Raw genomic sequence first — 27,773 nt, forward strand, 5'->3', positions numbered from 1 at the left:
CAATGTCTCTCCTCCCGTGACCTCTGCTCCCAATCCACACTTGCCGGGGCTTCTCAGCGGGCCCTCTTCCCATGGGTCTTTGCAAGAAGCAACAACTGACACAGACTGGGCCCCAGCCCGTCTAAAAGCCTCCACTCGGAGTAGAAAAAAAAGGTGCTTGGTCTCATCTCTGACCACTGTGTGGCCTCAGGAAAGTCACTTGATGTCTCTGGGCCTCTGCCCTCAAGTGTGAACAGGAGCTCGCTTTCCATTTCTGTGAATTACACTGCACCAACTGCTTGGGGGTCTGATAAGGAGCAAATAACATCCATGAAGAAATCTGCCATTCCACAAAAAAACTGACACCACCAGAAGGTTGACAATGCCTCTCAAACTCATCCCCGTCCCTGCCGCCCCATAGGATGACTTCCCCAGCCTTTGTAGGGGTCCCTGCATTTGGGCTCTTCCTTCCTAAAACCCAAACCTTGTAACTCCTTGGCCCAAAATCCTTCAAAGACACCTGTCTCAGGATTAGTCCATGTTCCTCGGTGTGACATTCAAGGCTCTGAGGGCTCTTTTGGTATTGGTGACAGATCCCAATTCAAACAGCCCTGGTCTCTTTATTAACTTTACTTTCAGGTAAGTCCTCAACAGCTCAGCCACACCGGGGAGAAAAGATAAGAGATGGAGAAACAGAGAGACATTATTAAAGAGTTGTAGTCCTGGATCCTGCCATACCTGAAGCCAAAAATCCCTGGATTTTTTATTTGTATGAGAGCCAAGAAACATCGTGAACCACCTTCTGGTTTCTCATAATAAACTTGGCTCATAAGGCTTCTGTTACTTGCAACCATGTCCTTCCTGTAAATTCCCTTCTTGGCTGAACTTAGCCAGGGTGAGCTTGCACCTAAAGAGCCCCACTGTGTGCAAACACTCTTCCTGACCCAGCCCCACAGCGGGCCGACCTCTTCTCCCTCCCCTCCCCACTTGCAGCCACGCTGAGCAGCTCGCCCCAGCTCCTCTCCCCAATGCCATAGAGTCTTTGCGTGTCCTGCTACCTAGACCTAGAGCACCCTTCCCATTCTGCTTACTGCTGCCTTCTCATCCTTCAGACTCCACTTGGTGACAGCCTCCAAGAGGCTTTCTCTGGCCCTCAGGCCACGTCTGAGGTCCCCTAGGCTTTCCCTATCGTGGCAGCCCTTTTGCAGATCTGTCCCTCCTACCGCAGACTGGGGGGAACTGGAGGCGAGTCTCATCTGTTGAGGTCTTCCCCAGTGTCCAGAGCAGGACCCAGCCCCAGGGGAGTGGAGTGCACGCCTGATTAGGGAGACATCAGGGTGCATCATCTTGGGCTGTGGTTCATGATCAGACAGCATTGGGTCAGGACCACCCCTCGCTCAGCATGGCCCATGGGAGGAGTTTCTGGATGGAGCAACTAGGTATGTGTGAGTGTTTACATGGGTGTGTGGGGGTGGGCGTGTGTGGAGGGGTGTGGGGGGTGTGAGTGTGTGGGTATATGGGGGGTGTGTGGGTGTGTAGGCGGTGGGAGTGAGTGTGTGGAGGGGTGTGGGGAGGGTGTGAGTGTGTGGGTATGTGGGGGGAGTGTGGGTGTTTGGGTGTATTTGTGGGTGTGTGGGGGTGGGTGTGAGTGTGTGGAGGGGTGTGGGTGTAGGGGGTGTGGGTGAGTCCTGGGGTGATGGAGGTAGAAGGCTGGTCTCCACCCTCCCTACACTGTATTTCCAGAAACACATCAGCCAGACAGAAGCTTGTTGCTGCTTTATTGAAACTTCCTCCCTGTCGCACACAAAGCAATTACACAAGGGGGTATTGCCAGGGAGCTCTTGCAGAGCCTTCTCCCTCTGTACCCCCCGACAGTCCCCAGAGACCCTGCCTCCGTGGCCTCCACCTCTGGGTCAGCTCCCTGGAGGACCCCGACACACAGGGAAGCAGGCACAGGAGGGCTGTTGGGGCCAAACCTCCCCAGCTGCCACAACCGCCATGACCCCAGTGGCAGGGTCAGTGCCCACAAGGGGGTTGCCTGCTTTGACTGAACTAACCTGTGGGTTTAGTCCAACGAACAGATGTGCCTGATTTCAGGGCTGAATTTTTGCTTGACCACAAGCCTCGGGCAGAACAGATTCGCCTATGACTGAATCGACTGAATGGATGGCCAGCGACAGCCTGGCCTGGGAATGGACTGGCAGCTCATCACTAAAATGACTCCTTTCATGGAATCCACTGTTATGCAGCCACACTGACCACAGAGCAACTGAATAGGTGAGCATTGGATTGTTGATGACAACTCTTCAGCAGAACAATTGTGTGTTTGAAGGGACTGTTTTATGATGAAATAACTGTTATTTCCTGGAGCTAATTGTTGAATGACAGTTTGTCAACTGTTTAAATGAATTTCATTTGAATTAACAATTATACAGCCACTCAGAGGTCCTACATTCGCCAGAGTTGGCATCCAGTTGATGGGTTCATTTGAATTAAATGGTTTGGAGGCTAACGTGATTTTTTAAATTGAATTTCATCACTATTCTGTGTATTCTATTTATCACTATTCTAAATGACTCATGGTTGGCTAATTGATTATCATGTAAGCAAGCTATTTGAAGAAATTGATTACATATATTTATATATAGGGGGTAACTAATTAATGATTACTTGATTAAATTGCTATGTGAACTGACAACTATTTATAAATCAATGCAATAGACTGTTGTTTGACCAAATTATTTTACTGAACTGACAAGTGGGTTTTTGATTTGTCAGTTGCTTGGCTGAACTGATCAAGTCGATAGTTGCTTGACAAACTCACCAACTTTAGAATGGCCAATCGTCTAAACAAGTGTCAGAGCTGATTGAAATAAACCAAGCATTGTTGGGCTGAATTATGGAGAGACCCGAGGAGTGACTCAGCCTAAAGCGTTGACCCAGTTGTGAGCAGCTCACAGGCCCTGCAGGAGGAGCAGGCCAGCGAGGGAGACACAAGCAGATTGTCCTGCCAGGGAGGGGCGGGAGGGCCCACCCAGGCCACAGGGGCCACCAAAGCAAAAAAGCAGATTATGAGGCAGCTCCACCCCTCCCAGCACTGGGGCTGGGGCCTGGCGAGGGTCACACCTCTGAGTATGGGGGTGGTGCTGGGCCCCCCTCTGGGGTCTTCGATGGCAAAGACAGGGCTTCCTCGTAGGACGGCAGGACCACCTGGGAGAGACAGAGAGATGAGGGCTGAGTATGGTCAAGAATGACCTGCAATTCCAACCTGGGGTCATGGGACCCAAACCCCCACCTCTGGCAAAATGATGATGATAATGACTGGCAGGTCTTGGATATTTGCTATGTGCTAGACATTGCCTGCATGAGATAGGTGCAGTTCCCAGCCCTGTAGTGGACATATTTGCCTTTGCCTATTCAGCATCAAGTCCCCCTTATTTTGAAAACAGTGCACCATTTTCCTTGGGAAAACATTCTCAGTCCATATACCTTCAGAAGAACTGGTCCCATCCCTCAGATCCAGCGAGGTGGCTGGACTTGGCCACTCAAAGTAGAATTCCATCCCCCTGGCTATAGTCCTTGGTTTGGGGATAGGCACGTGGCCCAAGTTGGTCCAATCAGACATACTCCTGGGACCTTCTTTTTCTGTTGGGATTTCTGAGAGGGTGGGATATCTGCCTAGGGGTTTTGGCAGCCTTTTTGCCACCACAAGGGATGGGCTTCCGGAAAATGAAGCCAACATCAAGGAAAGTAGAGTCAAGAGTTGGAGAGGACGAGATCATATCCTGATGTCAGGACTCAGCCAGGCCCAAGCCAGACCTACATTTGGCTGCTAAGTTCTGTGAGCTAGTAAATTCCTGAAGTCAGATTGAGTTGGGTTTCTGCCACTTGCAACCAAAAGTGTCTTAGCTAATACAATCTCCACCTTACAGGTGAGGAAAGTAAGTTACCAGGAATTTAAACCGTCACTTTCCAATAAGCTGCTTCTAAGCACACCTCATCCTCTCTTCCCGGAAAGCCTCCTTCTGCTTTCCCAGCTATCTCATATCCATTGACCCTCCAAGACCAGTTAACTGTCACCTCCTCCAGGAAGGCTTCCCTGATACCTGAGAAGAGGCCAGGTCCTTCCTCTGTGCTTATTGTCCCTGTGCTTCACACCAAGTTGTAATTGTATCTATGTGTCTGAACTGTACACTCCTCTAAGGCAGAGGTGGCATCTTAGTTTTCTCTGCGCCTCCTGGAATCGATATGAGACTAGCAAAGAGTGAGAGGCAGTAAATACTGAATAAATGAATGAGTGAGTGAATGAATCTTAGACTACCAGAACTGAAAGAGAACACATTTCTTCTGTTCCAACCCTCATCTTACAAATAGAGAAACCAAGGTCCAGAGAGGGAAGGAAACTTGACCCAAATGGCACAGGGAGTTAGTGACAGGGCTGGCACCCACCTGCAGCCACACTCACCTTCTGGAGCATCTTGGAGTTTCTCTTCTCCTCCACCGAGTTCATGCACTTGATCAATCTGTAGCACCGCCACACGCACTTGAACATGTAGACCTGGAAAAAGGCCCAGGTCAGGCTGTGCTTTGCTGAGCGTCCTTCTCACGCTCCAGCAGGCCTAGGACATATGCCAGGCAGGAGCCACCACTCTCTCCAGAAGCCAGCATCCAGCTGCTCCTGCTCGGACCTCTCATTCTGGTTGGGGGTTCCTCACCAGCCAGTCCAGAATATTCCAGGTATTGCCCTTTTCATTGCCCCACAGATACCACATAGCAAGGGGATTTGGGGGGCTTCTAGCCCACCCTCCAATTTCCCTGGCAATAGTCCCACAGCTCCTGCTTGACTGCCCACACTGCCTGGAAGCTCACTACCTCCTGAGACAGCCCTGCCCATCTCGAAACAGAGCTGATGGTGGGACATGTTTTCTTCAAAATTGCTTCCGATATGTTGTTTTCTGAAGCAGATTACAAAACAGCATGTGCAGTATTGGTCCATGTTTATAAAGGAGGAACAGTTAGTACATGTCCATCAGCTGATGCAAGTTAATGTAAGAATTGGGCAGAAGCTTTCCAGAGTGGGGCATACAATCCCAAGGGGCAAGCTCAAGAAACAACAGAAAACCCCCAGGATGCCCCCTGAGTAAGAGGAGAGGGTCCTGTACTGGAAGGTCTTGTTTGATGGATTCCCTGATGGGCACATAGGTGGGGCAAGGAGACATATGGAGGTACGGAGTGACAAAGAATGAAGCATGAAGGCCCAGGGAAAATCAAGTCGGTGGAGGGGGCCAGAGAGGCAGAATGAGGGTCAAAGAGGGAAGCCCCTCATTCTGGAGGATAAAAAACAGAAGGGGAGCTGGGGGACGGAGCTGTGTGCTGGGGTCTGCGGAGGGGTCCTGCAGTAGAGAGTGCCATGGAAAGCCCACACTGGCTTCCCCCATGAGGCCTTCAGGGGTGTTCTCACTGTACACTCACTAGTGCGTTTGTGCTAGGTCAGTCCTTGGAGAAGATGCTAAAAGGGGCAAGGTTCTGTTTCTAGGTTGGCATTAGGTGACAGCAGAGACTGCCCAGGGCCTCAGATGGAAGCAGGAGCTGGGGTCTGCAGATGCCCACCCACCACCACAGAAAGGCTGGGGGGAAATGCACCCAGTTGTCAGCAGTGATGCTCTCTGTGTGGGGTGTGGATGGTGGAGTGCTTGTCTTCTTTCTACTTATCTGTAGTTTTTTGGTTTTTGTTTTTTGTTTTAGAGAGAGATTCTCACTCTGTCGCCTAGGCTGGAGTGCAGTGGCATGATTATGGCCCACTGCAGCCTCAACCTCCCAGGCTCAAGCGATCCTCCCGCTTCAGCCTCCCTAGTAGCTGGGACTACAGGCACACGCCACCACATCCAACTTTTTTTTTTTTATGTTTTGTAGAGACAGAATCTTGCTATGTTGCCCAGGTTGGTTTTGAACTCCTGGCCTCAAGCAATCCTCCCAATTCAGCCTCCCAAAGCACTGGGATTACAGATGTGAGCCACCACATCCAGCTCATCTGTAGTTTTTAAATTTCTACTATGACCTATGTTACTTTTATAATCAGAAAAGAACACTTTTTAAAAGCCCTTCCTTCTGTGGTCATCAGCATCCCTGTGGCTTCAGGCCACAGGCCCCCATTGTGGCCTCTAGGATCCCACAAAATTCCCCACAAGAGTTCTTCAGGTATTAAGAAACAGCAGTCAGGTCCCCCTTGAGTCCTCTATTTTCCATGCTGAATAAACGCTCAGGTCTTTGTTGGGTTTTGTGGGGGTTTTTTGACTTCCTAAGATGGCAGCGTTTTCTTGTCTCTTCACGTTGCTGGTTGTACTGCTGTGAACACACTCCAGTGCTTCACCATCACTCAGACCTGGGACCTGAAGCTGGACCCTATCCTCTGGGCCTGACCACCCCAGAGAAGAATGAGACCATTCCCCTCCTGCCTTCTCATCACCAAACCTCTATTAACATAATCTCAGGTACATTTTGATGCCTGAATTACATAAAACTGTAACACAGGCAAAACAAGACTCCTGCCCCTGAGGCCCAGAGAGAAGTGACTTGCTGAAGACCAACCACGCAGCTAGTGACAGTGGGGCTTGGATTCAAACGCAGGCCAGTCCAAATCTAATTCCAGACAGCTGGAATTAGACATCTGAACGCAGGTGGCCTTTACGGATTCACATGCCCTAAATGGGCTGTCTCGGAGGATCCCAAGTAAAGTCAGAGGAGCTGGCATGGGAAAGCAAGAGAAAGGAGCTAAAAGCAGGAGAGGAGGCATGGAGGACACATGTCCCTGCCTTCTAACAGCTTGGCATGGGCAGGCCTGGGCCCAGCACAGCCTCACCACCCCTCCCAGAGCCGCAGGGCAGGGATCCACTCACCTTGAAGATAAGGACAGTGATGAAGGCGATGGAAAAGATGATCATCATCTTGATGAACTGGTTATGAGGCATATCCTCCTGGCTGGGGAGGTAATTCTGCAACAGATTTGGGGGCCACATCAATGTCTCTGGACATAAGGAATTCCAACAGCACCCACACATCCGGGAATAATGATCCCACCCTCCACACACACACGAGCACAGCGTGGCACAGCCGTCACCTTGGTCGACCGCCACAGCAGCCTTAGGAAGCAGGTGCTACCTTCAGCCCCATCCCACTGACGGGCAAACCAAGAAAAGCCAAGTGGCTACTATCTCCAGATCTGCTTCCCAGGCTGGCGCACCGGCCCATCCCCAGCTGGCAGGTGTCAGCTGCCCATGGGCCACACCTATGCTCTTCTCTACAAGATCATTTTGGCTGACAGGGACCACCTAATCCACTAATACCTGGGAGGTTACATTCCCTCCCCTAGGGGCAGCTTGAAACCAATGACTGATGCAGGGGAACTCGCCCTAGGTGAGACTGCCTCTGTGGTCATTTGCAAATATTACCACACATTCTTTGAGACGCCTCCCTTCTAAAGGTGGTGTTTATTTCCTCTCCCCTTGAGTGTGGGCTGGACTTAGCAACGCACTTCTAACTAACAGAATGTGGCAGAAGTGATAGAAGTCTTAAAAGACACTGCCTTTCCTCCTTGCTTATCTCTTACATCACTCCCGCAGGGGAAGCCAGCAGCCATGTCAGGAGAGCACTCAAGCAGCACTACTACAAGTCCACAGGATGAGGAATTAGGCAAAGAGCCCACGCCCTGTGAGTGAGCCACCAGGAGTTCATCCTTCAGATCTAATCAAGCCCTCAGTTGTCCACAGCCCCAGGTACCATCTCTGGTGCAGCCCCACCAGAGTCCCTGAGTCAGAAGAACCCAGCTAAGCCACTCCCAAGCTCCTGATCCTCAGAAGCTGTGTGAAATAATAAATGTTTATTGCTTTAAGCCATGATGCTTAGAGATAATTCATTAGACAACAATAAAAACTGATATTATGTCTGTGTTGCAATTCACATGCCAAAGCCCTCTCTGGGATCATGCAGGGCTGCTCCTACAGCCACATCTTTGCTTCTTTGCTTGGCTTCCTCCTTTTCTCGAACCTGCCTTCCTCACTCCTGACAAGTTTCTTCCTGAGAGGGCTCCCTCAATAAATCACCAGCACAAGAATCTTCCTCCCAAGCTCCAACTCCAGGGAACCTGGCCTAAACCACAGACACACAGAGACGTGAAGTAACCTGTTCAAGGCCACACAGCCAGCAAATGGGCATGGTTCCCTGCCCCAGACTCACCATGTGGTTCATGGACTTGAAGTTGAGATAGGTGGGCACTTCCATGTAGGAGCTGCAGAGGGTCAGGATGCTCAGGCAGAAGTCCAGCAGCTGCAGCGTCATCAGGGGGAACTTGGAGGAGCTCTGGGGAGGACAAATACAAGGAGGAGGAATGAGGAGCAGCAATTAAAGTCCCAGTTACTGAGCGGCACATAGTAGGCCCTCACTTGAGAGACCGTCTCAGCTACAGACATCAGTGACTCTCGTCCCCTGTGCACAGAGAGACATGAACACACAGATGTTCATACCAAGAGCTGGTGGCAGACCCAAGACTAGAACCAAGGTCTCCAGACTCCCGGGCCAGGGCCCTTCCATGATGTAGCCCCCCGGTCTCTTCAAGGACAACAGTTGGGGAGAGTGAGAAAAGCAGGTTTGGGAGACTGTGTCCTTGACTGGCAGCAGCCCTCAAGCCACCCCACAGTGGGCGCTCACTGGCATGAATCATCCTTCTCTTCCTTTCTTCAACTTGGTTCCAAAGAAGAAATAATACTGGGGGCTGGGGGCTAAAAAGCGCACATGTCCTTTCCTCAGGTGTCAATTCACTCCCAGCAGCACTGACTGAGTGCTGACCATGGGCTGCACCCCCAATGTGTGTGTTCCTCATGTAACCCTCATAAGGCAGGCTGATGAGATGTGATTGCAGGTACATTCCACAGAGGAAGAAACTTGGGGCAATGTGGAGGGACTCAGAGACTGGGTCAAGACACCAGCCAGGAAGAGGGCTCCTACCCTCCCCAGCCTGAGCACAGGGCCCGTGTCTGGTCCCCTCCCATCTCCCATGCCAGACCTGGGCTCTGCTGTCCGGTGAGAGGTGGGGGCTGGGTACTCACAGCACGGCTCCGGGAGGCCAACTTGAGGTAGGCGGGCAGCTCAATGTAGGAGCCCAGCAGGGTGAGCAGGCACAGGAGATAGTCCATGATTTGCAGGGACAGGAAGGGCAGCAGGTACTTCTCCCGGTTCTGAAAGGTAGGCCCAGCACCGTCAAGTGTCCCCTGCATGCAGCCAACACTCCGCCACCCAGCCTGATATCCTCATGCATCCCCTTCCCACCCTCTCCCAAACCTTCCCTGCCCTCCTCAGTTGAGGTCACCTCCCTCTGAGTGACACTCTGGGGACAGGGAGTGGATAAGACCCAGGCCCTGAATGAGAGGAGTCTTGGTGTCCCAGGAGACGTAAGGGAACCATCCCCATCTATCAGGGCTCAAAGAGCAGGATTTGACTCAATTTGCTCACAAGAACCCAGCAAGGAAGGGCTTTGTGCACTTTTTACAGAGGAGAGGGGACCAGAGAGGACTTGCTGGAGGTGGGGACACCAGGGCTAGATCGGGGAAGGAGACTAGGAGTGAACAGGAGGGAGGGGCGGGGCACTGGAGGCAGAAAGACCAACATGAGTGAAGGCCCGGAGGCAGCAGAGAGCCCCTCCCCCCCACCCCCCACTCCCCACCACGCCCCGCATACAATTGGACCTTCCTCCACCAGCCACTCCCAGGGGTCCAAAGTCACAGTAAGAGGCCCTGCCAGGAAGAGGCTGAAGTCCCTCTTCTTCAATTGAAAGCAAGTGACCACCATGACCAGTATTCATTCATATGCTCTCACAGCTGGGGACAAAATCACTGCAACAGTGGTTTCCTGGTGTCTCATGTGGTCGTCTAAAATCACTCAGGAGGCAACCAGAACAATCTTGACTGATCTCAGAGTCTTCAGGGACCACCTGCTCCATTTCTCCATTTCTCTAGCTGAACCCTTTGAGTTTCTGCACAAGCACCCACAGCCACCCTGCACAAGGCAAACGGCCTCCCCAGGCAGCATGGGTTCCAAGACAGAGTGAGTGTTAGCAAGGGGAGTGGGTGCTGGCATTTGAGGCAGGGTGGACGCATTCCAAACCAGCACCAAATCATCGCCCCACTCCTCCGGCCCTGCAAGGGCCAGGCCCCTGTCTGCACAGGAAGGACCCTCTTTCTGGATCCTACTCCCATGGCTATGTGGTGAGGCCCTGGCTTCCTGCCTTTCTGGGGACCCAGGGACCGCGGGTTCCTCTTCTGCAGGGGATTGAGCTACAGCCCATCTCAACTCTCCCACCAGATTTGCCTCGGGCCCAGGAGCCCCTCGTTGTCACACTAGACTGTCCCTGTCTCTCTGAAGGCCCATCTTCCCCAATCAGATCATGAGCTCTCTGGGGGCCTTCCAGGGCGTAGGTCCCCCTCAGGGTGCTGGCTCCTGTCACTGCATGGATAGAGCTGCATGCATCCTACTTTCCCCCTTCTTCGGCTCCTCTCATCCATTACAAAATCCAGTGCTTTCTCCCGTCTCTCACCCCCAGAAACAACACTTCCTCTTTTCACTCTCAAAATTCCCTGCTTCCACCTGCCGTTTAAAAGGATGTGAGTCATCAGCTAGTTCTCACCAAAGTGTCGGTGACCAGCATAGCCCACCATGCCCGGCCCCGTGGAGGCTCATGTTACCAGGGAACTGAGGTCACCTGCCCAGGGAATCTCAGGGAGAAACATGGTTCTCCAAAAGGTATGTGTGAAGATCTCCAGAACGCAGGTGGGACCGCCTAACATACCCGCCTCCCACCCTCTCAGCACCCAGCACTGCCCACCACCAGTGGGTGTGAATAACAGGAAGGGGCAGGGGGCAGCGGGGCTCCTGAGCCCTCACCTTGACTACGCCGATCAGTAGGCTCAGGCTGATGATGAAGAGCATGGTGATGAGCAGGAAGCTGGAGATCAGGTCAGCTGAAAGGCAAGGAGAGCAGGGAGGTGCTCAGGGGTGCCCCTGGGACCCCAGCCAGGCTCCCAGGACCACACTTGGGGAACCACTGGTTTGGGGACATGAGGATGCACAGGAAAGCCCAGGCCCTGCCCTCTTGCAGTCCTGAGTCTGGAGTGAGTACAAAGACAAAAGCAGAACATCACACATAGCACAGGAGGATGCGACAGAGGGTGCTGGGCTGGAGGTGCAGGCTGGGGTCCACTTCAGCCAGGGTGAGGCTGAGGAAGGCATCCCTGGGGAGTGGCCTGAGAGCAATGAGGAATCGGCCTGAGACAGGGACAGGGTTGGTGAGGTCAGTGTGGCTGGAGCAAGGTGTGGGGTGGAGAATCGCAGGGAGATGCTGTCAGAGAGGTGGGCAGAGGCTGGATCCTATGGTGAGGAGTTTCCATTTTATTCTAGTGTGATGAGCAGCCACTGACGGCTTTAAGCAGAAGAGTGAGGCTATCACCTTTACCAGCTGGTGGGGATTTGCAAAGTGCCATTCCATCTGCTCTCACCACCTGCAGATGTGGGTGGGGTCAGGTGGAACATCCCCATTTGCGGATGAAACAGCTGAGGCCCCAAGAAAGGAAGACACTTGCCAGAGGTCATCCATCGTCCATGGAGAGGTGGCAGTGCCTCCAACACTAGCCTGGCTATCCCTGGCCAGGGCCCTCCCTGTCCTCCTCCCCCCGCCACTCCACCGGCGTCCCCTGGACCTACCGATCCTGAGGTAGCCCATCTGGGAGAGCTTGCAGGACGCCTTGCCATGGGCCACCTCTACTGAGTGCTCGATGAACAACAAGACGCTCATGATCTGGAGGCAAAGCAAAGCATCAGTCAGCTGAGCCTGCATCACGGCCCCCCGACCAGCCCCTCCCACCTTAGTGGTGTACAGCAGGGAAGCCAGTAGTGGGGATCCTGGAGCAGATGGCATGCCAGGTCAGTAGGGCATCTCAGACAAAAGAGTGGCCTTTACACACAGAGAGCCCATGTTCAGAATCCTGGGTCTTCCTCTCTCCAGCTATGTGACCCTGGGCAAGCTACTTGACTTCTATGTGCCTCGGTTTTCCCATCTGCAAGATGGGGATAATACTAGTAACTTCCTTAGGAGGCTACTGTGAGGAGTAAATGAGACTATCCCAGGAGAGCCCTTAGGCCCAGTTCTCAGGAAGAGTGGTAACTGTTACTACTGAAGGTCAGGCTTAAAGAGGTGGGGTGGGGGGTAGAAGCTGAAGGCCCCTCCACTGCATCCCCTTCTGTAACAACAAGCTCTGGGGATCAGAGAGCACCATAGAGCTTCAGGTTCCCGGAATCATCAACACAGGCCCAGGAGGGCCCTGGAGAGCATCTAACCCTGAATCTCTGTCTCCCATGGCCCCTCAGGGAACAATAACATCTTCCTCATAGGATTGTGGTGGGGCCAGATGGGATAATTCACTTAAAGTACCTGGCAGATAGTAAGCACTCAATCTGTGCTGTTATCCATTATCCCCATTCGACTGTAGGTTCCAGGCAGGGAAAGCCTGTATGTCTCTTTGTTCATTCCCCTAGCTGTTGTATTTGTTGAATGAATGAATGAATGAATGAATGAACAAATGAACCCCACACTCTCAGATGACCCTTGCTAAGAATGATGTGGAAGGGGCGAATCTGATAGGCCTGAGTGTTGGGGTGGCCCTAGAAACAACTGAAGTTCAGCCACAAAACTGCAGTTTTAAAGAACCTTGGAGGTCACCTTATCCATGCCTCCCATAAACCTGTGCCATGCAGCCTCTACTTAAGTGCTTCCAGCCATGGGGAACTCACAACCTTATGTGTGTCCATGTCCTCACAGCAAGCCCTCCACCCTTCCCCTATGACATACATACAGTTCTCCAGGTAACCTCTGCCCATATAAAGAACAAGAAAACTGTCCCCTCCCCTCTAGTCGGTGCCCTATCTCTATTAATATGGCCCTAAGTTTACATCGGCTTTCTAGGCAGCCCTGCACTGGTAACTCATGCTCAGCTGACAGGCAACCAGCCACCCACCATCTGTTTCCCCCTTGCTGACTGTGTGGGTTTTTTTTTTTTTTTTTTTTTTAGCTCAGACACAGGTCTCAACTTGTCTTCCTGCCACATTACATCCTGTTTAGGGGCGTGGAAAGGGACTGAACGGAAGAGTGATGAAGAGCTGGGCTCCAGAATCAGATCAAGAGGATTTTGAATCCAGGTCACTGTGTGACCTTGGGCAAGTCTCTTAACCTCTCTGAGTTTCCTCATCTGGAAAATTGCAATCACTGGATTTAGTGAAGATTAAATTGCATTATATTTGCAAAGCACTGAGCTCAGGGACTGGCAGGGGGTGCCCAGCAAACAGAATCTGCTTTTGGCTGGGGCAAGCTTACGTGGTTCGGCAGTAGTACCAGGAGCACGGTGCATGCTCTAACTGCCCCCTCTACCTGCTAAAGAGTGAGCTGGAAAGGCTTTGTCTCATCAGGAAAGTTGAGAACACCCCAAAAAGAAGGCAGGTGTGGTGAGGGCTGTGGCTGACACTCACAGGAAACAGCCCTGAGAGAAAAAAACTCCTTCCTCAGCCCCTAAAGGCCAGGCCGCAGCCCCTCTCCTCTCAGTTTCACCTTGAACGAGAGAAAGAGAAAGGGAGGCAGATGACAGCTCCGTCCAGCACAGAACGGGGTGTCCTGTGAAGTGGTGAGCTCCCTGTTCCTGGGAGTATGTAAGCAGATCACAGATGAGTCACAGCTGGGCTTAGAGAAGGACCATGAGCATCTGCCAGCTGTGAAATGAGAAGACTTTCAAAGTCTCAAGATTCCAGGATTATCTGAGATCTGGAACAAAGCCTAGAATCAGATCATCTCAACCTCCCCTTGCTAGAAGGAGCCTGCATGTACTTGTTTTATAAGCTTCCTCTGCTTGTTTTATAAACTCAGAGAGATTAGGTGGCTTGCCCAAGGACACACAGCAAGTTGAGGGAGGAGCCCAAGTCTCCCAGTGCTGTTCTGATGCCTTCCCATTCCCCTGACCCCCAAAATGCCTCAGAGCCCTGCTAGCCTGAACCCCGGAGAGGACTTAGATATTTTGATCATGCATCTATGTCAGTAAAACCTTTTGCACACACGCCTCTATTTTTCTTTCTTTCTAAATTACACGCATGTGTTGCTGTCCTAGTTTATCATGAACATCATAAAACAGCTACTAAAAAATTTCCAGAAATTAAAAAATTATATGATGGAAAAATTTAGAAATTTTAATATTGTCCTCCTGAGGCCATGAGGTCACCTTGGACATTACCCGACTTTAGAGACCTCTACTAATCCTCAACTCCCCCTACAACTCCTCTGTTCTCCTCCAAGCATCCCTTACTGCCCTGTAACCCCTCCAATCACCCCAGGGGAAGAAGGGGACATTTGTACAGCCTAACTCCATGCCACATGATCTTCCCCACTACCCAGAAAAGGGACTATTCTTAATACTTTCCTTCCCATTTCACAGACGAAGAAAGTGCAGCTCAGAGAGGTCCAGGGCCTTGCCCAAGGCCTCCCAGCTGGTCATATGCAGGGCTAGGGTTCAAATCTTGGCCAATTCCCTCCGCTGCCCGGCATCTTCCAGCCACCCGGGCTCTGCCTAAGGCCTAACCCTTCCCCTCAGTGCCTCAGTGGAGGCAGAGAGGCGCCCCCATCCCCTCTCCCTCTGCAGTCCCCCCTCCCTCCCCTCAGCCCCAGCACCAGGCACCAGAGGTATTTCTACTTTTGTGAAAACCACCTGCATTTAAAACCCAGGCTCACCCTCCCCCATTTCACCTTTTCTCAACAACCCTGCGGCAGGGGACGAGGGAGGACTTTGTCCCCATTGCCGGATGGCTCACGAGACTCATAGAGGGCAGGGGACCAGCCCACAGTCACAGAGCGAGGCAACCTCAGAGCCTGACTTAGACTCTGAGGGGCCCCGACCTTCCACGAAGATGCCAGGCCCTGACCCAGGAGAAAGGGAGGAAGCTCGGCTCTCCAGGCACCCATGTGGCTCTCTAGGACATAGGATGGAGAGGAACTCACATTTATTCAGCACCTACTGTGTGCTCAGACCTGCACGCACAGGCTTGCACTGCAATCTCCCAAAACTTTACAAGACAGGCAACATTTTCCCGTTTTACAGATGAGGAAATGGAGGCTGAGAGAGAACTCACATGTCCTGTGTCACGTGGCCCGGCTGGGGTGTGAACCCTGTTGCCTCTCTCCTGGGGTCAGGGCTCCCCACAAGGTTGAACTTGCTCCCCTGAGGCTCCAGGATCTCTCTAGCCATCTGCCCACCCTTCCCTGGCAACCAAGCCCCAGCCCCAGCCACTCAGAGCTCAGGAGACAAGAGCTGGGGAGCAGGAGGCCTCCTCCACTGCCTCACTGCTGTGTGGCCCTGGCCAGGTTCTGGCTTCTCCCTGGCCTCAGCTTTCGATTCTGGTCAATGAGAAGAGACCCTCATTTTCCCCTGGGGCCATTGGGATGACAGAACGCAGGAGGGTCAGTGGGGTGGAGCTCCTACACACTGTAGGACATCTCACCCAGGCTGCCCACAGTCCTCCACCCCCAGCCACCCCAGGGCCAGCACCCTGCCCCTCAGAAGGCCCTCACTGCCCCACCCATGTCCCTAACCAACAGCTGTTGGTAGTTCCTGGAAAGTACCTGGCCGACCTACAGAGTATGCAGACAGTCAACATTTCCAAGCCTCCAAGCCCTTGCCTTCCCCTCATGTCCCCGGTTTCCACCTGGACACAGCGCTGCCTTCTCCCCAAGCTCTGAGAGCCCAGCTGGGCTGTGACCTTGGGACCCGAGCCATCCCATGACAGGTACAAGGCTTCTCTCCCCCAACAATGCGCAGGCAGACAGCATGCCCTCACCCACTTGCTCCCCAATTACAGCATCTTTTCACCCACTGTCCCTTCATTCTATGCTGGTGAGATCATGAAGATAAGAGCTCGGGTGCTGGGGTCAGATGGCCCCAGGCCCCAGCCGAGCTCTGCACCCTTGAGCCAGCCACTAACCTCTCTGGGCCTCGGCTCCTCATCTGAGGAATGGGGATAATCACTGACCTGCCTCACAGGATTGCTGAGGTCAAATGGAATCGTGTGGTGCGCGGAGCCGGGCACACAGCAGGTGCACCATAAACAAGCACAATTGGGTGGTGGTTTTTGCTACCTCTGGGCATTCACTGACTCTCAGTAAACACTCTCTGAGCACCTACCGCCTCCAAACTCTGTCTAGAAAAGCCACTGACCCTGGCGTGCCGGTGTCACAGTCTCCAGGGAACTCGATACATGAATGGTGTGCTCAGAGCCATGACAGAGGACACGCATGGGGCTTGGGGTCCTTGATGAGGGAGAGCGCATTGCTGTCTAAAAAACTTAGGGAGAATTTCACCAACAGGAAACCCATGAGCGTGGCTTTGAGGGGCAAGTAGGAGTTTTCCAACACAGAAGAGAAGAAAGCATTCCAAAAGAGCAGACATCATGTGCAAAAGCCACAGGCCTGGTGGTGCAGGTGTGTTTCAGTCCCTTCAGGGAAACTCAGAAGGCACGGGAGTGTCTCTTCCCTGAGAGGAGGATGTTACCAGCGGGGAAATATGGCCCAGAGAGAGACAGCGACCAGCCCAAGGTCACACACCAAAACTGTCGCAGGGTCAAAATCAGCTCTGTCCTCCTGCCTCCAAGCCAGGCTCAGGCTGCGGTCCCAGCCATGCTCAGCCACCCTTCCCACCCCCACTCTCCTTTCCCGCTTTTCACCTCTTCTTCTGCCCATCTTTGGTTTCAGTTCTTATTCCCGTCTGCACGCAGCCTTTCTTTCTTAATGACAAACACAGCTTCCCCAAGCTGGCCAGTTGGGGAAGTGGCCAGGGGCAGGGGGATTTGTTTCTTTTCCTGGTGGCTCTGAGGAGCAAGCAACAGGTTGAGCTAAAAGAATGGGGGCAGGGGCTGGAGGATGGAAATCAGGGAAGATGGGGACAATGGGGTCAGTATTGAACATGGCTGGGCAATAAGGATGGCGGTACCAGAGGGGATGCGGTGAAAACAGTGCACCAGGTGTCACCTGGGAGGCACTGGCCATGGTGACCATGTGAGGCGGGGAGTGGCTGTTGGGATGTTGTTGGAGTTGGCGTGGTGATGACAGTGATGATCAGAGATGCTGTTGGTGATGTTGGTGACAGTGATGGGGGTGACGGCAATGGGGACATCAGGATAGGATGGTGATAAGGAATATCATGTGGATGGTGGTGATGACACAAGAACCCCCGATTCTGGGGTTCAAAGACCAGTCCCTTCTGCAGGAGAGCAGGCCCACTCTCTCTCACTCCCTGAGGCCCAGGACCCACCGTCTCAGAAGCAGGCAGGCGGAGACCCACCATCTGAGATTTTCAGGGAGGTAAAGGTTATAGAGAAAGGACCCAGCCGTCAGTGAGCACACACCCGTGCCAGCCAGAGTGTGGACACTTTCCTATCCGTTTACTTCATTGGCTCCTCCTACCAAATGTGCGAGCCCAGGACAGAGGCTGCACAAGAAGACAGGCCCGGGCTTGTCTTCAACCCTTCCCAACAGACAATGCAGTTTGCCATATGGGTCCCAAGTGCCAGAGCCCTCCCTTGCCCCTCCCCCTCAGGGCTGCTCCACCCTGACCCTGTGTCCTACAGCCTCACACTTCTGCCATCATCATTATTATTATGGCCCCTCCCTGAAGCTCAGTCCCCTCAACCTCACCTGCCCACCCTGATTTCCCTGGGTTGCCTGGGAGGAGGATGTGAGAAGGGAGTCAGATGTGTCACCATCAAGAGGAAGCTCCCCTTCCCCACCCTGTGCTTCTGGTCAGAGCTTATGAGGGCTCAGTGGGGGCCAGCCCCCCAAGAGCACTATCTCCCCAACCACCTCTCCAGCCAGCCCAGATACCACCAGACGCCCCCATTCCTGGGGCCACGCACTCCGCAGCAGCCCGGCCTGGCTGCCTGCAGCTCCCCAGAGCCTGGCTTCTCTCTCCTCTTCACTCTTCCGCAGTTCTCGTCCTCACCCGCCGCCTCCACCTCATCCCCTCCTCCCTCCACTGGGCTCTGGGGCTCACAGACCTCAGTGAGAACCCCAGTGCAGCCGCTGATCCCCTGTGGGATCCTGGCCTGGCCATGTTACTTCATCTGTAACATTTCCTCATCTGTAGAAGGGAGAGAAGAATCCATCCACCTCCTGGAGTGGGTGTGAGAAGTAAATCATTGAAGACAGTGATTCAGAAAGATCAACTGAGCAGCACAGGTGCCTGTGTGTGGACACCCAGCACGGAGCCTGGTGGCCATGGCTGCCTTATTTGTAACAGCCCCAAGCTGGAATCAATCCAAATGTTATTTTGCAGGAAAACAGGCAAATGCATTGTGGTAGATTCATACAATGGAGTATACACAGCAATGGAAAAAATGAGTTAGCTACCCGCAACCACACAGACGAAGCTCCCAAACATAACGTTGGGAGAAAGAAGTGCTCACAAAAGAACACGCGCTGCAGAATTTCATTTCTACGTAATTCTACAGATGTATGTATTATAGAACTACATAGACAGGCAGAAGTCAGTGGGGGCGGGGCAGTGGCGAGGCGGGGGCTCTAGGGGCCTCTGGGTGCTGGTCTGATTTCTTAGTTTGGGTGGAGGTCACATGGGTGTGTTCACCTTGTAGAAGCCCACCAAGGTGTGCACTTAAGATAGCTGTGCTTTTCTATAGGTAAATTATACATCAAGAAAAGGTTTGCAAAAATCAAATAGAGATTGGCTGGCACCTCCTGTGCCAGGTTCCACGGGATCATGAAGATGAATCAGGCTGGGTCAAGACCCAAACGAGCATCCAGGCCAGAGGGCACGACTCCCAGGGACCCAGCACACAGGGCTCTGGGTCAACACCCAGAGCTCAGGGTCCAACCGTAGGGGTCAGGGCGGGCTTCTCAGAGGAGGTGGATCTTGAAGAAGATTCCCCGAAAGAGCAATGGAAAAAGTGTTCCAGGCAGAGGAAAGGGCATGAGCAGAGGCCAGTGTGCATGAGACGCATTCAGGAAACGGCAAGACGTTCCTCTTAGTAAACTGTGATTTGGCGTCATCCATGTGCTGAATACGCAGCAGGCCTCAGTAAATGGCAGCAGTTGGCTGGGGGAACACACGGATCCACCGGTTTGGCAGGGGTGGGGCCTCTGGGGTTAGAGAGAAAGGGGAAAGAGCATGCAGGAGATGTGACGGCTCATGCAAAACCTAGAGAACCTAGACTCGGACGGCTCAGATGGCGCTGGAGGAGGTTGTCACCTGCAGCACAGGAAGTGCTGTGACTGGGCGCTAGCAGCTAACTTTGCCCCAAAGGCAAACAGTACCAGTGAATCCCAGCAGCAGAGATATTCTGGCTGGTGGTAGCTTATCAAATCTCCCTTTAGGAGCAGCCAGTGGGGGGCTCAGAGTTGGCCTCCAGGTATGACACAAGGCCCTGTCATTCTCCACTTCCTAGATATCTGGGGAAGCACCCTCCACTCCCCAAACGATTCCCTAAAACCATCACTTCTCCCTTTATCTTCAGAGCAAAGACCCACAATAGTGATAATAAGTATTGATACTATTATTGTTGTGCATTTATTAGACGCCAGGTCCTCTTCTGAACTTATACAGTCGGCCCTCTGTATCACGGGCTCTGCATCTGAGTATTTTCAATCTGCAATCCACGATGTGGAACCTGCGGATAGGGAGGGCCGACTGACCATACACTCTCTCGTGTCAACCTCGCGCCAGTCTTGAGAGACAGGTTCTAACATGAGTCCCATATTTTTCTGATTTTGCAGGTAAAATTGAAATCAGCTCTTTACACATGGGCTCTGTGCTTCTCAGAACAAGGCTCTGGGGATGGCAGAGCTGACCCCCTCCCCCATCCCATGGCTGCCAGGAAGGCTGCCTTCCCTGCCTCCACCTGGAGCAGACACCTGGGCTCGGGTTCTTTATCTAACACAGGCTGCAGAGTCACTTGCCCTCCTGAGCCTGTTTCCTCATCTGTAAAATGGAGGCCCCCGTGGCAGCTGCCATTTTTCCGGTGCCACAAATGGTAGTTACTGAATCCCACTTGACCAGGGAGGAAATTGAGGCTGGGGGACGGGTGCCTTGTCCCAAGCAGCCCCTGTGCAGGGCTGAGGCAGTGCAGCTCATGGCTTTGCTTCCTGCCTCATTAGGGGGTGCTTTGTGCCACTTCCCTTGGCAGGGTGGGGTCCCCTGGGAAACCAACGCTCGCCTCACAGTGAGCTCAGAGCGAAGTCCTGGTTCCAGGCTGATGCTCTAGGCTCAAAATAAAAGCCTCACTTCCTGGAGGCCTCGGGGCCAGGTTGGCAACAGAGAAGTCTCGGCCAGGCCAGGCTAGGCCCTTCAGCCACTCTCTGGGTGGGATGGGCCATGGGGGCCTCCTGCTTTTAGAAGCTGGGGTTCACACCCCTGAGGTGAGGAGAACAACTCAGTTCTGACACTGAGGAGGGGCTACAACTCCCACCCTGCCCCCACCGGCCTCCTCACCCCTCCGTGAAGCGCACAGAGCTGCAGTGGCAGAGAACGTGGCCTCTCTGTCCAGCCCAGGGGCACTGGACATAAAGGTGGCAAGTTCTAACAGATTCTCACCCAGGGTTTTCCCCACCTGGCAGTTTGGACCCATTTTTCAACCCCAAACAGATGAACTTTCAACAGAGGAGTGGGGCCAGGCACTATGGCCCACGCCTATAATCCCAGCACTTTGGGAGGCTGAGGCTGGTGGATCACTTGAGGTCAGGAGTTCAAGACCAGCCTGGCCAACATGGTGAAACCCCATCTCTCCTAACGATACAAAACTTAGCCGGGCATGATGGCACACACCTGTGATTCCAGCTACTTGGGAGGCTGAGGCACAAGAATCACTTGAACCCGGGAGGCAGAGGTTGCAGTGAGCCAGGATCACGCCACTGCACTCCAGCCTGGGTGATAGAGCAAGACTCAGTCTCAAAAAAAAGGGGCGGGGGGCCTTGTGTTCTTCTTCCACAGCCCACTTCAGGCACTCACCTGCTAGCCCTCCACCCGGCTTCGCTAGGGTCTCCTCCAAATGATCACTTTTGAGGCAGGGACCACTGGCCCCATTTACAGATGAGGAAGGCAAGGCTCAGATAACAAAGGTGCCCGCCTGCTCAAGTCACACTGCTGGTAAGTAATGGAGATGGGCCTGTGTTCCTTTCAATCACAAATCACTGCCCCCAAAGTGGAGCAGAGAAAAGAGCCCCAGGAGTTCTAAGGAGGACAAATCAGGAGAGCTTCCTGGAGGAGGAAGCTTCCCGTAAACTGGACCATAAAGAAGAAATGAATGGTGGGAGGCTGGATGAGGGCAGGGCCTCCCAGACAGACACACCACCCCAGCCATGGGGCAGGGAAGGAACTCATTTGCCCACTTTCTGGATCATTCCACACACCTGTGTGCCAGCAGGGGGACCTGAAGCAAGCTCCTGCCCCATCTCTCCATGTGTCCTGGAGCAAGTAAGGGGCCCTGCTGGACCTGTTTTCCCATCTGCAAAATGAGCTGATAGGCCGAAGAGAGATCCATCTTCTTAGCTCTGAAGCTTGTAAAAGCAAAGGACTCGGGCAGGTCCCACCCCTGGGGACCTCTCCACCCTCCTCCCCGACACACCTCGTGGCCACCCCTCCTAACCCAGCTTGACAAACCTGCTAGGTCTCTGAAGCACTGCAGGGTCCTTCCCCTCCAAGCCTGTGTCATGCTACTCCCCCCGCCCAGCGTGACCTCTTTTCCAAGGTGCCCAAGCAAAGCCCTACTCATCCTTAAGACTCAGACCTCCTCCAAGAAGCTATTCCAGAATCCCAACCTCCAGCCCTACATCTGTGCCCCCATCATAGCCAGCAATGTCATCCATTGTCCTCGTCGGTTTTTCCTTGGCAGACTGGCCCCTCAAGGGCAGAGGCCGTGAATGAGTCAGGGCTGTATCCCGGCCTGGGGCTGGGCACATGGGTGAACTTACCTGCACGAGGTCAGGGCAATAGAGACTCCTTCTTCAAATACTATGATTTGAATGCTTTACCTTTTTTTTTTTTAAAGAGTCTCACTCTGTCAGGCTAGAGCGCAGTGGCGCGATCTCGGCTCACTGCAACCTCCACCTCCCAGGTTCAAGCAATTCTCCTGCCTCAGCCTCCCGCGTAGCTTGGACTACAGGCTCCCGCCATCATGCCCAGCTAATTTTTTGTATTTTTAGTAAAGACAGGGTTTTGTCCTGACCTCAAGTGATCCACCCGCCTCAACCTCCCAAAATGCTGGGATTACAGGCATGAGCCACCGCACCTGGCCGTACTTTTTTTTTTTTCCAATTTAAAAGTAGTATACTTGAGCCACAAAGTAAAGTACCATTGGATTATAACCCAAAGCATACAGTAAAGATCCCTGGGTCCCTGTAATATAAATAAATCATTTATTTATATAATAAACTGGGAGTACAGACAAATCTCCTTGAGAAATTCCAAGTAATTTATGTAGCTACTCTGCCCTCAAGGAGGTGGGGCGGAACTCCCCATTCATCAAACTTGAGTTGCTTGGAGCAGCATAGTGACTTCCTTCTAAAACATACAGCATGGAAAGGAGAAAAAAAGAGTAACTTTACAAAGGAGTAACCTCAGCCGGGGGCTCAAAGTCACCAGCAACAGTGGTAAGTCAAGTTGGCAGAACCTTTTCTTAGTACGATGTTCTGAGACTGGCACATCATCTCTGTGGTCTTCCTCCCAAAAGCACATTCCCAGACTAATCATGAGAAAACCACCAGAGACCCCAGTTGAAGAACATTTGACAAAATGCCTGACAAATACTCCTCGAACTGTCAAGATTATCAAAAACAAGAAAAATCTGAGAAACCATCATACCAAGAGGAACCTAAGGAAGTGTGAAGACTAAATGTAACGCGGCATCCTGGATGCAATCTTGGAACAGAAAAAGGATGTAAGAGGAAAGCTGGGGAAATAGGGGTGAAGCACTGACTTTAATAACAGCCCACGAATATTCATTCACCCATTGCAACAAACGCACCACACTAACGTTGAGACGTTAGCAATAGAGGAACTAGGCATGGGGGACGCAAGAACTATCTGTACTGTGTTTGCAATATTTTCGTAAATCTAAAACCGTTCTAAGTACGTGCTCATTGTACCAAATATGGAAAATACAGAAAAGTAGAAAAAATAGAGCTTTCACTATCCTAGAACCCAAATACATTTCCTCCTCGCCCAGTTTTGACGTATCCTGTTTTGACACTGTTGAAATCATAGCAGGTGTTAAGTTTTTTAACCCAGACAATGCATTTCTGACAGTGGAATTCCGGGCACTCTGGGGAAGAGGGGTCAGGAAGAAAGAGATTTCTGGGCAAAAGTGTCTTCTGGGGGTGTCCACTTTCTACCATCGACTTAGAACGTGCTTCAGGTTGACAAAAAGCCAGGACCCAAGAGACCCAATTTAAGAAATTTCTCTAGACTGGGCTCGGTGGCTCATGCCTGTAATCCCAGCGCGTTGGGAGGCCAAGGCAGGAGAATCACTTGAGGCCAAGGGTTTGAGACCAGCCTGGGCAACATAGTGGGACCCTGTCTCTACAAAAAAAAATATTTAAAATTAGCTGGCCATGGTGGCATGCGCCTGTGATCCTAGCTACTCAGGAAGCTGAGGTGGGAGGATCTCTTGAACCCAGGAGTTCAAGGCTGCAGTGAGCTGTGATGGCACCACTGCATTCCAGCCTGGGTGACAGAGCAAGACCCCATCTCTTAAAAACAAAAACAAAACAAAACAAATCAAACCACAAAAGATGGGCAAGTTACTGAACTTTGAAAAAAAGAATAGATTTTTTAAAAAAAGAAAGAAAGTTTGCTGGGTTCCCAAAGTGTGCAAGTTTGGGTGACCCAGAGAATCCTCTACACAAACCCACTGACATCCTGAGGAAGATGCCCGAGCCCAAAGCTACGGACCAGGCTTCCCTCATGTAATAACGCCCTCATGACTCAATAGAGCGTGGCACTGTCTCAGGATGGCAAGGTCTCAATTTAACCCTCCCTAGAGGGGCCAAGTCCACAAATAGCTCATGATGTGCAGAGTCGTCACCCATGGCTGGGTCCAGATGACAGCCAGCATGGGCTATTGACACATCTGGACCACAGCTTCTCTTTTTCCATCCAGATGCTCAAGGTCCTATCAGCACACCTGTTGCCAGCTAGCCTATGGGAAAGCCCCCAGGCCCTGCCCTTTCTGGGAAGGAGAGAGGACTCTTTCGGGGTGCAGGAAGATAACCCCCCACTGGAGTCAACTGAGGACCACAGCCTGGAGACAACCTGGGCCGAGCGCACAGCTTCCAGGACACCCCTCTGCTCTTTTGCTTGCTCCTGCTCTAGAACGTCTCATCACTCATAGGCATTGGTTCTCAACTGGGAGAGATTGGGCCCCATAACTAGAGACATTTTTGGTTATCACAAGTGGCAGGGTAGGGAGATGGGCAGTGCTGCTAGTATCTAGTAGGTAGAGACCATGGATGCTGCTGAACTTCCTCTAACGCACAATTCACTCCCCCAAGATGAAGAATTATCCAGCCCAAAATATCAATGGTGCACTGCAGAGAAGATCCAACTTCTTAGCTTGTCACTCAAAACCTTTATCACCTCCTCCCCAAACTCCAGGTTTGTCTCTATTGTGTCCCTGTAGAAGCCGAACACATACGCCATTGCTCACCTGTTTCTCCTCACCTTCCATACTGCCCACAACCAAACTCTCCCTCCTGCCAATGGCACCACCTCCAAGAAGTCTTCCATGATTGCTAGGGCCCACACATTCTTCAGCTCTGTGAGCAGGGACCGTATATCACACCACCATTTACAGGTGAGGACATCGGATGGCACGATCAACAAGAAACCTTAACAGCCCCACAGTCCCGGGTTTGCAGGGCAGCCTCTGGGCCCACACAACCTGCAAATGGATTTGACTTGGCCTGCACTGAGATTTTTTTCTACCATGCATCAATCACTAGCATTGAAACATCAGAAGATGTGACACAAAAGCCTGCTCCCTATTCTCTAAACATCAGAAGAGCGGCCACCAGGGCCCACAATCCTTCGTGGCAACAACAAGCAAAAACAGAGAACAGCTGCAGGGTGGGCCAAGCAAGGGCTCCCGGGGTCACCGCAGGCCCCATCTGCCCCCTGCTGTCACTCACATGGCCTGCCCAGACCCTAGAGGCATCAGAGTTGGAGACCTCTGAGCCAGTCAACATCACCTTACCCCTGACTTTATAAAAGGGAAACTGAGGCCCAGAGAGAGGCTTGTCTGAGCCCATACAGCCAGTTAGTGGCAGGGCTGGGGTGAGGACCCAGGGACTTGCTACCTGTGAGGCGCCCCTGCATGCCACACTGTCCTTCTAAGAATGTGCATAGTCTCAGAGCTTGAAGGCCTAAAATACAGGGTACAGGGACACTCAAAGAGTGATTTGCTTCTCTCAGCTCTTGCATTGGCAGGAGCTCGGAAGGACAACCTCTGAGTTCCTCCTCCCAAAACTAGAGTCCTTGAATCTGACAACTTGACTCCAAGGATGCTGACAGCAGGTGCCATGTCTGATGCACAACGAATAATAAAGCACTCACCTGTGCGTCAGGCGTGGTTCTGCATGCTTTGTATGTATCAACTCCCTGAGCCTCACAACAAACCCTATCAGATGGGTATGATAATTCACATCCCCATTTTTTTAAATGAGAAAACTGAGGCTCAGAGAGGTTAAGTAAATTGCCCAAGGCTGCAGAGCTGGGAAGCAGGGAAGCCAGGATTTGCATGCAGGAGTCTGCATCCAGAGGCCGTGGGCTAACCACTGAACAGCATCGCCCCCCTGAAGGCTGGGCTCTTGCCACAGCTCTGCCTGCCCTGCCTGTGACAGGAAGCAGACGCAGGCAGGTCTGAGTTTGCAGCAACCCACCGCAGCATGTGGATCTAGGCTAATTTTGAGGAAGCCCTTCCAGACTCATGAGAAAACTGTTAACCACAGGCCCTGAGTCACCCCAGGAGGAAGTCGCTTGGGTCTAGGGGAGATGAGTGTGGCCAGGAGTTTGGGAGTAGGGTGGGTCTAGGCAGGACAGTACAAGGACACTGACCCTCAGCCACCCCAGGCAGAGGGGCAGCCTTGGCCCCCGGGCACTGTGACTTGCCCAAGACCACACTGTGAGTCACCAGGAAAGGAGGAACCAGTGACAGCCGTGACTTCACAAGTTGCCCAACAAGAGCTTGGGCCGGACAAGTTACCCTAATGATTAGCACAGGTCTCAAGTTCTCTTTGGTGGGCAGAAGGCCGTGGTTTGACTGAGCTGGAAGCTGAGAGGACACGGCCCCTGCCTCCCCACTGGAGGCACAAAGGGGAGATCCCCACTTCTCATCCCCTCGAGTGGCCCAGGCTCCCTCCAGGCCCCAGGGGAAGAATCGGGGCTGTGTCTGCGGCCGACCTCACATCCCGGTCAAACAATCCCAGCCCACGTTCCTCCCAAGATCCCTGCCTTCCAAAGCACTTTCACATCTGCTGTTGGCTTTGCACACAAATAACCTTCCGGCTGCTGCTGTGCCCCATCTCACAGAGGCAGAAACGGAGCCAGCCTCGGAGTGAACGTCAGTTACATTTGCCTGGAAAGTGGATTCCAGCTCCCTTACTCCTCACTCTTGCGGCATCTCCCCAGGGTACCCCCAGCCATTTGACAGAGAAGGAAACTGAGGCCCAGAGCAGGACAGGGATTTGCCCAGGGTCCCCCAGAGAGGTGGAGAGCAGGAGTTCTTTCATTTGTGGGGCTCCGTAGATGACGGGTCACCGCAGACATTCACACTCACACAAGCACGCACGCACACACACCCGGGGCCCGCACACTCACCACATGGTAGATGGCCAGGGCGGTGGTTGCGATGCGGACATTGAAGCAGCAGCAGGTCTGGCGGACAGTGGACAAGCGGGGGTCCATGGTGCTGCCGTCCCCTCCTCTGAGACACTGAAGGGGAAAGAGCCTGGTGCCTGGAGCAGGGCAGAGAAGGGGAAGCTGCTGGCTGCCCTCCTCACTTCCTTCCTGCCCCTTAGACAGGCAGGGACAAGGTCGTCACAGCTGGGGCGGGGCAGCTGGGGAGGGGGAGTGGGGACAGGGCAGCAGCCTGCCTCAGAGCACCCCACTGCCCTCTGCCATTCCCAGGAGGGGGTTCCAGAGAGGACAGACCCTAACACGGTCATCATGCCCTTCTCTGCACCAGGGCCAGGGTTCCACCGTTTCACACAGCTTGCTTACTAGAAGAACACTACCAACTTTGGAAGCCAGGACTGTTACCAAGCCCATTTCCAGATGAGGAAACAGCTGTCCAGAGAGGTCAAGGCACTTGCCCCAAATCACACAGTAGTTAGCACTGGTGGCAGAATTCAAACCCAGATCTGTCTGGCTGCAAAAATAGCTATTGTCTAGGAGGCATTTCCTGCCTCTTCCAGGCATGCTCCTGGATTCACTCCTTTCATCCTCACCTCAATCCTTTGAGAGAGGTACTATTATGATCCCCATTTTACAGATGAAGAAACTGAGGCACAGAGAGGGGGAATGATTCGTGCAAGGTCACACAGCTAGTCAATGAAGGTGCAAGGATTTTAACTGAGGCTGACTGGTGCTAGAAGCCTCCCTGGAGCTGGTGTTCTCTCCCACTTCCTCACCCTGAGCCGCAGGGAGAAGCTTGTTCTTCCT

General features: G+C 52.7%; 1 protein-coding gene, 1 long non-coding RNA gene and 1 other non-coding gene across 4 annotated transcripts, besides 20 other annotated features; all 3 read right to left on the reverse strand.

Annotated features, from left to right (window-relative positions):
* Positions 1,544-2,049: an enhancer, noted in NCBI's record as "NANOG-H3K27ac-H3K4me1 hESC enhancer chr1:31205119-31205624 (GRCh37/hg19 assembly coordinates)". NCBI's record gives its function as "activates a minimal SCP1, AML or CMV promoter by ChIP-STARR-seq in primed H9 embryonic stem cells {active_cell/tissue: H9 hESC(primed)}" and the evidence as "EXISTENCE:reporter gene assay evidence [ECO:0000049][PMID:30033119]".
* On the reverse strand, positions 1,741-27,046 carry LAPTM5 (lysosomal protein transmembrane 5). Of its 2 annotated transcripts, NM_006762.3 has the most exons (8): positions 26,931-27,046; positions 11,728-11,821; positions 10,912-10,988; positions 9,081-9,209; positions 8,212-8,334; positions 6,876-6,971; positions 4,445-4,537; positions 1,741-3,189 (listed from the first exon to the last, which is right to left on the reverse strand). In NM_006762.3, the coding sequence occupies exons 1-8, from the start codon at positions 27,015-27,017 to the stop codon at positions 3,100-3,102; spliced, it is 789 nt and encodes a 262-aa protein (NP_006753.1). In that variant the 5' UTR covers positions 27,018-27,046; the 3' UTR covers positions 1,741-3,099. The 2 variants fall into 2 exon arrangements, with proteins under 2 accessions (NP_006753.1, XP_011540400.1); XM_011542098.3 differs by lacking the exons at positions 10,912-10,988; positions 11,728-11,821.
* Positions 2,050-2,555: an enhancer, noted in NCBI's record as "NANOG-H3K27ac-H3K4me1 hESC enhancer chr1:31205625-31206130 (GRCh37/hg19 assembly coordinates)". NCBI's record gives its function as "activates a minimal SCP1, AML or CMV promoter by ChIP-STARR-seq in primed H9 embryonic stem cells {active_cell/tissue: H9 hESC(primed)}" and the evidence as "EXISTENCE:reporter gene assay evidence [ECO:0000049][PMID:30033119]".
* Positions 2,596-3,097: an enhancer, noted in NCBI's record as "H3K4me1 hESC enhancer chr1:31206171-31206672 (GRCh37/hg19 assembly coordinates)". NCBI's record gives its function as "activates a minimal SCP1, AML or CMV promoter by ChIP-STARR-seq in primed H9 embryonic stem cells {active_cell/tissue: H9 hESC(primed)}" and the evidence as "EXISTENCE:reporter gene assay evidence [ECO:0000049][PMID:30033119]".
* On the reverse strand, positions 8,428-8,504 carry MIR4420 (microRNA 4420). The gene has a single exon (NR_039616.1). It is a non-coding gene; the product is annotated as a microRNA 4420 (primary transcript).
* Positions 8,482-9,041: an enhancer, noted in NCBI's record as "H3K27ac-H3K4me1 hESC enhancer chr1:31212057-31212616 (GRCh37/hg19 assembly coordinates)". NCBI's record gives its function as "activates a minimal SCP1, AML or CMV promoter by ChIP-STARR-seq in primed H9 embryonic stem cells {active_cell/tissue: H9 hESC(primed)}" and the evidence as "EXISTENCE:reporter gene assay evidence [ECO:0000049][PMID:30033119]".
* Positions 13,062-21,632, reverse strand: LOC105378620 (uncharacterized). The gene is made up of 2 exons (XR_007065566.1): positions 19,616-21,632; positions 13,062-19,204 (listed from the first exon to the last, which is right to left on the reverse strand). It is a non-coding gene; the product is annotated as an uncharacterized LOC105378620 (long non-coding RNA).
* Positions 13,201-13,330: an enhancer, noted in NCBI's record as "active region_618". NCBI's record gives its function as "activates an Ori minimal core promoter by ATAC-STARR-seq in GM12878 lymphoblastoid cells {active_cell/tissue: GM12878}" and the evidence as "EXISTENCE:reporter gene assay evidence [ECO:0000049][PMID:35858748]".
* Positions 14,772-14,831: an enhancer, noted in NCBI's record as "active region_619". NCBI's record gives its function as "activates an Ori minimal core promoter by ATAC-STARR-seq in GM12878 lymphoblastoid cells {active_cell/tissue: GM12878}" and the evidence as "EXISTENCE:reporter gene assay evidence [ECO:0000049][PMID:35858748]".
* Positions 14,842-15,031: an enhancer, noted in NCBI's record as "active region_620". NCBI's record gives its function as "activates an Ori minimal core promoter by ATAC-STARR-seq in GM12878 lymphoblastoid cells {active_cell/tissue: GM12878}" and the evidence as "EXISTENCE:reporter gene assay evidence [ECO:0000049][PMID:35858748]".
* Positions 15,352-15,501: an enhancer, noted in NCBI's record as "active region_621". NCBI's record gives its function as "activates an Ori minimal core promoter by ATAC-STARR-seq in GM12878 lymphoblastoid cells {active_cell/tissue: GM12878}" and the evidence as "EXISTENCE:reporter gene assay evidence [ECO:0000049][PMID:35858748]".
* Positions 17,402-17,711: an enhancer, noted in NCBI's record as "active region_622". NCBI's record gives its function as "activates an Ori minimal core promoter by ATAC-STARR-seq in GM12878 lymphoblastoid cells {active_cell/tissue: GM12878}" and the evidence as "EXISTENCE:reporter gene assay evidence [ECO:0000049][PMID:35858748]".
* Positions 18,032-18,211: an enhancer, noted in NCBI's record as "active region_623". NCBI's record gives its function as "activates an Ori minimal core promoter by ATAC-STARR-seq in GM12878 lymphoblastoid cells {active_cell/tissue: GM12878}" and the evidence as "EXISTENCE:reporter gene assay evidence [ECO:0000049][PMID:35858748]".
* Positions 19,140-19,219: an enhancer, noted in NCBI's record as "active region_624". NCBI's record gives its function as "activates an Ori minimal core promoter by ATAC-STARR-seq in GM12878 lymphoblastoid cells {active_cell/tissue: GM12878}" and the evidence as "EXISTENCE:reporter gene assay evidence [ECO:0000049][PMID:35858748]".
* Positions 19,320-19,369: an enhancer, noted in NCBI's record as "active region_625". NCBI's record gives its function as "activates an Ori minimal core promoter by ATAC-STARR-seq in GM12878 lymphoblastoid cells {active_cell/tissue: GM12878}" and the evidence as "EXISTENCE:reporter gene assay evidence [ECO:0000049][PMID:35858748]".
* Positions 19,776-20,319: an enhancer, noted in NCBI's record as "H3K27ac-H3K4me1 hESC enhancer chr1:31223351-31223894 (GRCh37/hg19 assembly coordinates)". NCBI's record gives its function as "activates a minimal SCP1, AML or CMV promoter by ChIP-STARR-seq in primed H9 embryonic stem cells {active_cell/tissue: H9 hESC(primed)}" and the evidence as "EXISTENCE:reporter gene assay evidence [ECO:0000049][PMID:30033119]".
* Positions 20,010-20,149: an enhancer, noted in NCBI's record as "active region_626". NCBI's record gives its function as "activates an Ori minimal core promoter by ATAC-STARR-seq in GM12878 lymphoblastoid cells {active_cell/tissue: GM12878}" and the evidence as "EXISTENCE:reporter gene assay evidence [ECO:0000049][PMID:35858748]".
* Positions 20,320-20,861: an enhancer, noted in NCBI's record as "H3K27ac-H3K4me1 hESC enhancer chr1:31223895-31224436 (GRCh37/hg19 assembly coordinates)". NCBI's record gives its function as "activates a minimal SCP1, AML or CMV promoter by ChIP-STARR-seq in primed H9 embryonic stem cells {active_cell/tissue: H9 hESC(primed)}" and the evidence as "EXISTENCE:reporter gene assay evidence [ECO:0000049][PMID:30033119]".
* Positions 20,430-20,589: an enhancer, noted in NCBI's record as "active region_627". NCBI's record gives its function as "activates an Ori minimal core promoter by ATAC-STARR-seq in GM12878 lymphoblastoid cells {active_cell/tissue: GM12878}" and the evidence as "EXISTENCE:reporter gene assay evidence [ECO:0000049][PMID:35858748]".
* Positions 24,317-24,666: an enhancer, noted in NCBI's record as "active region_628". NCBI's record gives its function as "activates an Ori minimal core promoter by ATAC-STARR-seq in GM12878 lymphoblastoid cells {active_cell/tissue: GM12878}" and the evidence as "EXISTENCE:reporter gene assay evidence [ECO:0000049][PMID:35858748]".
* Positions 25,138-25,187: an enhancer, noted in NCBI's record as "active region_629". NCBI's record gives its function as "activates an Ori minimal core promoter by ATAC-STARR-seq in GM12878 lymphoblastoid cells {active_cell/tissue: GM12878}" and the evidence as "EXISTENCE:reporter gene assay evidence [ECO:0000049][PMID:35858748]".
* Positions 25,853-26,649: an enhancer, noted in NCBI's record as "H3K4me1 hESC enhancer chr1:31229428-31230224 (GRCh37/hg19 assembly coordinates)". NCBI's record gives its function as "activates a minimal SCP1, AML or CMV promoter by ChIP-STARR-seq in primed H9 embryonic stem cells {active_cell/tissue: H9 hESC(primed)}" and the evidence as "EXISTENCE:reporter gene assay evidence [ECO:0000049][PMID:30033119]".
* Positions 26,778-27,057: an enhancer, noted in NCBI's record as "active region_630". NCBI's record gives its function as "activates an Ori minimal core promoter by ATAC-STARR-seq in GM12878 lymphoblastoid cells {active_cell/tissue: GM12878}" and the evidence as "EXISTENCE:reporter gene assay evidence [ECO:0000049][PMID:35858748]".

This window comes from Homo sapiens, chromosome 1, assembly GCF_000001405.40.
Source record: "Homo sapiens chromosome 1, GRCh38.p14 Primary Assembly".
NCBI lineage: Eukaryota > Metazoa > Chordata > Mammalia > Primates > Hominidae > Homo > Homo sapiens.